Here is a 5,526-nt window from a genome sequence, read left to right on the forward strand (position 1 = left end):
ACCACAGACTGGACACTGTTCTCAGTGCTTTGCACGTCTTAGCCCAATTCCTTTTTGCAACCGCTCTAAAGATGAGCCCCGTTACTGTTTGCATGGATAGGTTGAGGGGGTGGAGGCATGTACACATATATGTAATGATCCAGCATGTTAATTGTGCTATACAAGTCCCCCATATCTTCTACTCCTGCTGGTCACTTTTGAGCTTGTCATTTCTCAGATGCGGAGGGCACAGTGTGCTGTGCACCTGCAGCCCAGGGGTTCTGAGCAGCAGCTCTGGTGCCGTGCTGCCTACGCTTGAGCCCTGGGTTGACATTTGCGAGCTGTGTGCCCTTGGGGAAGACACTGACTTATCTCGATCCCTCAGTACCCCCAGTTTACAATGGGATCAATAATGGGGACCACCTTTAAAACTGTAAAACGTAAACAGGGCAATGTGTAAGGTGCTTAGAATAGTGTCCAGTCTGCAGTGTGAGCTACGACCCCCGTTCTTCCTTGCTGGTGGGTCTTGTTAGTTGAGCAATGTTCCCCACTCTGAGTGACAGCTGGCTAGCTCATCACTGATCTGAGCCTGTCTTTGCAGTCTGTTGCTTCACTCGTACCTGAAAGGCACAGAGTGAGTCACTAGTCAATGGGTCTTTCAGGGAAAGTCAGATGGGGGAGGGCTGGAAAAACATGTGCTTTCCTGACAAACGGTTTACTTACAACTGTCATTACTCTTCATTTCCTCCTGCTTTCTTTCTGCCTCGACATCAGGTGTGATGTTTGGAGTTATAGCAGCCGCCTTGCAACCATGAGGCAAGAAGCTGGAAAGACAAGCCAAGAGACTAAAACACTGTGACATCACATCTGACAAAATTGAGCCACTGAACCAATGCCAGCAGCTGTGTCCTCCAGATTTCTTCTTATGTGGGGCAAGACCTTTATTATTTAAGCCACCAGTGGTCTGATAGTGTTACCTGAAGCCAAACAGACTCCTGTTTGAAACAGTGTGTTTGTTTCCCACTTATCATTGAGGATCTGTCAATGTCTCCCTCTCTCTCTCTCTTTATTTAATCTCCAGGGCAGAATGACGAGTTAATCCTACTCCTCGGGTCCTGGCACATCATCATTGGTCCAATCTCGAGAGATTGATTAATTGGTTGATTCCCTTTCATTCCCTTTCCCTACTTTCTTTCCTTTCCCATTCATAGGCAGCCATTCTAATGCATGTAATATATTACATATTTCCAACTTGCAGGCATTCATATGTGATTTGCATTGTCTTGTGTGCACATGTATTTTTATCTTATATAAATGGTATTGTGCCGTATATCTTTTGCTTCTTGCACTCTGCACTGTGTTCTTAGAATCCACGCATGTTGCAATGTGCGTGTCTCATCCATTGTTCTAACGCTGCTCAGAGCTCCCAGAGTGCATCCTCCTTGTGGTGGACTTCCACGTAAGTTCTCTCCCCTCACCACCACCACTAATGCTAGAATGATCATCATTGTACAGGTCTTCTTATGCACTCTAATGATAACTCATCTGGGGTTGATATCCAGAAGAGGAATGGCGGGGTCCCATACTTTTACATGTACTTAATTAGATTCAACAGTGCCTGCTGTTCTTTAGAATGGCTGCATCAGACTATCCTCCCAACAGAAAATTTTTCATCCTTTTTTTATTACCTTTTGCATTTTGAGTTTCCCTTGTTAGGTAGACTAATATTCAAGGCTTTCTTTCATGGGGTTTTCCTGTTGTTAACATGCAATTTCTCTCTTTGTCCATTTCAAAGCTCTTCACCTTGAATTCCATTTAGTTGGGCCTCAGAGCCTGAGCGTTTCCCAATTTTTCATGCAGCCTTTCTGACTCAAAGCTCGTGCCTGCTAATCCTGTATGATCAAGATTTATGTCAATGCCTGCAGTTCACGCATGCCCACTGTTAAGATGGGATAATGCCTCATGATGGATTCTTCAAAACAACAGCCTTTGCCAGCAAAGAAAAAGAGACAGACTGTCCAAGAGGTAAAGTGAACATCTGTTGTTTACGTCTGCCCAGAATCCATTCCCTCTTCTGGCCATGGCACCATAGTTTTTGTCTGGGGTCCACCCCTCCCCCACTTCTACTCTGTGAAGCTCCGTCTCTCCCCAAGTCCAGTCCTGGCTGATCAGAGTATCCACACTCCCAGCCACAGCAATTGGTTCAGCAGTGGGCAGCTGACCCAGGCCATTTGATAAAATGTTGAACTAGCACATTAGCTGTAACTCTTTAGGAAGAGGTGTTCTCTTTTGCTAAGATTTCTAAGCTTGCAGAGTATAGCCTGAAACTCCCTGAAATGGGAGACAGAGTTGAGAGAGAGAGAGATAAAGGGAAAGAGTCAAAACTTCATTACATCATCATTGAGCTACTGGATTCAGCCATGGCTGAAGCCCAATTACCTGTTTGTTTCAACTACGTGGCTCAATAAAATCCCCTATTTGAATGAGACAGCTTGAGTTGGATTTCCATCCCATACCGCTGAACATGCAGCATGCATTGGTGAGTGAGTGGTAGAGAGCTTCAGTGATAATACAGTGAGTGGTAGAGAGCTTCAGTGATAATACAGTGAGTGGCAGAGAGCTTCTCCCAGGGCCTGTGGGAAAAAAAAAAAGCCCTGTCCGTCAATCATCTGTTAGGCAACTGCCCACTTCTTCAAACTCATATCTTACCATGCTTCCCCTCCCTGACTGTGTTCCAGCCACACCAGCTTCCTGGCTATTCTGGGAACACACTAGCTTGTCCTGTGCACTTGCTGTTGTTCCCTCTGCCTAGAGTGTCCTTCTGCCGAACTGCCGGATTGTTTCCTTCTCATGCCTCAGGACTCAGCTCAAGTGTTACCCCCTCATAGGGACCTCCTTGGCAAGCCCCTCTCGATGCAACCGTCAGTCTGCTCTGCAGCTCAGCACAGCAGCCACCTGGGCGATGGCTTCTTGGGCATTTGGTCCTTTACTTGGCTGTTGCTTGTCTCCTCTGCCAGAATTAAGCTGTTTTGTCACCACTGCAACCCGAGTGTTTACGCGGATGCCCGGTTCATGGAAGATACTCCATAAATATATGTGAAATAAATGAAGGAATGAAGAGGTTAGGAGGAAGAGAGAAAAGAAAGGAAGGCAGGAAGGAAGGGCAGAAGGAAGAGAAGGAGGGGGAGAAAGGCAAAGGAGGAAGGGAGGAAAGTCGGGGGCAGGGAAGGGAGGAGGAGGAGGACGGACTCACTCAAATGCTTCAGGTTTAAGGGTCACTTCTTTTTTGTTCATACCCTCAGACTTGGCCCAAAAGCAAACTCAGAAACAAGAGTCCTTGAAATCTCATCTCAAATGTCCCTCTGGCCTGCTACTTAATTAAGTGACCCCATAATGAAATTTCTTCCCATTGAGTCTGTATTTAATAATTAATTGACCTCTTCAGCCCAGCCAGGCTTGGAGGCTCATCAATTATACATCTTTCCCATCTGCACTCAACACTCACCTCCCAGGAAAAAAGAGTCCAAAGAGGAGAGGCTGGGAGTGACTGGAGGCGAGCACTGGCTCCTCTGCGGGGTGAAGTTACTCCCAGAATGGTGACCTGCTAGGGACAGATGGAGAGGAATGAAAGGGGCTAGATTCAATCTCGGGCCTGAAGTTTATTCTGAGGCATCATCTTGCAAAAGACAAAATTAGTAATAAAAAGTTAGGCATGAAAGTAAACATTTATCTAGAAAAGCTAAATAACAACCAATTACTTTGTTATGGCAAAACCCACAAAATCCCATAAAAACAACACAATATTTTTATTAATTAACTAATTGTCTGGCCTGCTTGAAGTGTCATCAATTTAGTGAGTATTTAAGACTAGCTACTCACACCTATAATCTCAGCACATTGGGAGGCCAAGGTAGGCGGATCACCTGAGGTCAGGAGTTCAAGACCAGCCTAGACAACATGGTGAAACCCCATCTCTACTAGAAACAGAAAAATTAGCTGGTTATGGAGGCACGTGCCTGTAATCCCAGCTACTTGGGAGGCTGAGGCAAGAGCGAATCTCTTGAACCCAAGAGGTGGAAGTTGCAGTGAGCCGAGATTACACCACTGCACTCGAGCCTGGGCGACAGAGCAAGACTCCATCTCAAAAAAAAAAAAAAAAAGATCAAAAAAAAAAACTAGTTACTTACTTCACAACAAAATTTGAAATGGCCTGAATGTTTTAGCTCCTGTAGGAAAAAACTTGATTGTCATTTTCCCTTTTGGCCAGACTCTTTGATTGTCTTTTCTCATCAATATCATTTTCTACAGAGAGCAGAGAGAAAAGAAAGGTAACTCATTCTTTTCTTTAGAAAGTTGATCAGAAAAAAAAAAGAAAGAAAAAAAAGGAAAAGAAAAGTCTGACCATTTAGAAGTTTCTTTTGGCTTTGTAACCTGTCAGGGCTGTCACTACGAAGTAACACAGCCTGTGTGCCTTAAGAAATAGGAATTTATTTTCTTACAGTGCTGGAGGCTGGAGGCCTATGATCAAGGTGCTGGCAGAGTTGGTTTCTTCTGAGGCCCCCTCCTTGGTCTGTAGATGGCCGTCTCCTCTTCACACAGCCTTCCCTCTGTGCATTTCTGTGTCCTGATTTCCTCTTCTTAAGGACACCGGTCATATTGGATTAGGGCCCACCAATATGACCTGATTTACACTTAATCTTTAAAGACCCTCCCTATCTCCAAATACAGTCACATTCTAAGACACTAGGGTTAGGACTTCAACATATAAATTTGGGGGAGGAACACATAATTCAGCTGACAGCACACACATTTACAGGGCAGTTGTCAAATTTGGGGAAACCACTATCAAGTTTCTTTCCTACATGAGCTAAAACATTTTAAGGCATTTCAAGTCTTCTAAGCACAGCAACTAACCTAAAATACCTGATGCGTTGGTAACTCTTCTCAACCAGTTTGTCAATGACATCTCTGTGCTGTGATGCTTCATCGGGATCAGAGCGGGCAGGTGGCATTTTCTAGAATTCCATTCTCACACTTGAAGGACAGCAATGATTTACCCATAGAGACAACTGCAAGCCACATACAATATGTCGTGGTAGCCAAAGTGAATGCAATCCCAACCAAACCCCGCTTTGACCAGACCCCAACAGCGCCCGCGGCCACCCCAGCACCACTCCGTGCAAGGGAAAGTGCAGGGAAAGTCAAAAGACAAAATTAGTAATAAAAAGTTAGGCTGGGAAAGTCAAAAGACAAAATTCATTTTATTCAGCTGTGACTCCGTAGTGCCCATTGCCATCTAACATAGTACATATTGGTTTGTTTTTGTTAGCAGAAAGAAACAGTGGTCTTAATGGGCTGCCATTCAAATATCTTGCTTTTACAAATTTCACAAACATGTGCCTTGATTTTTACAAATTTCACAAACATGTGAACATAGCGTTAGGGCCCTTCCCAGGGCTTTGGAATGTCCCTGGGCAGGTGATGGGCCCTGAAGCTTAAACTTTATAAACTTCCCAGTAAATCTGCCTCCAAGTGGGTCCAGATTGT

The 5,526-nt window shown here is 44.7% G+C and overlaps 1 annotated feature.

Annotated features, from left to right (window-relative positions):
- Positions 2,087 to 3,286: an enhancer, noted in NCBI's record as "BRD4-independent group 4 enhancer chr20:45431640-45432839 (GRCh37/hg19 assembly coordinates)". NCBI's record gives its function as "activates an origin of replication core promoter dependent on BRD2, P300/CBP, MED14 and CDK7 cofactors, and independent of BRD4, by STARR-seq in HCT116 cells {active_cell/tissue: HCT116}" and the evidence as "EXISTENCE:reporter gene assay evidence [ECO:0000049][PMID:35650434]".

The sequence above is a fragment of the Homo sapiens genome, chromosome 20 (genome assembly GCF_000001405.40).
Source record: "Homo sapiens chromosome 20, GRCh38.p14 Primary Assembly".
NCBI classification, from domain to species: Eukaryota; Metazoa; Chordata; class Mammalia; order Primates; family Hominidae; genus Homo; species Homo sapiens.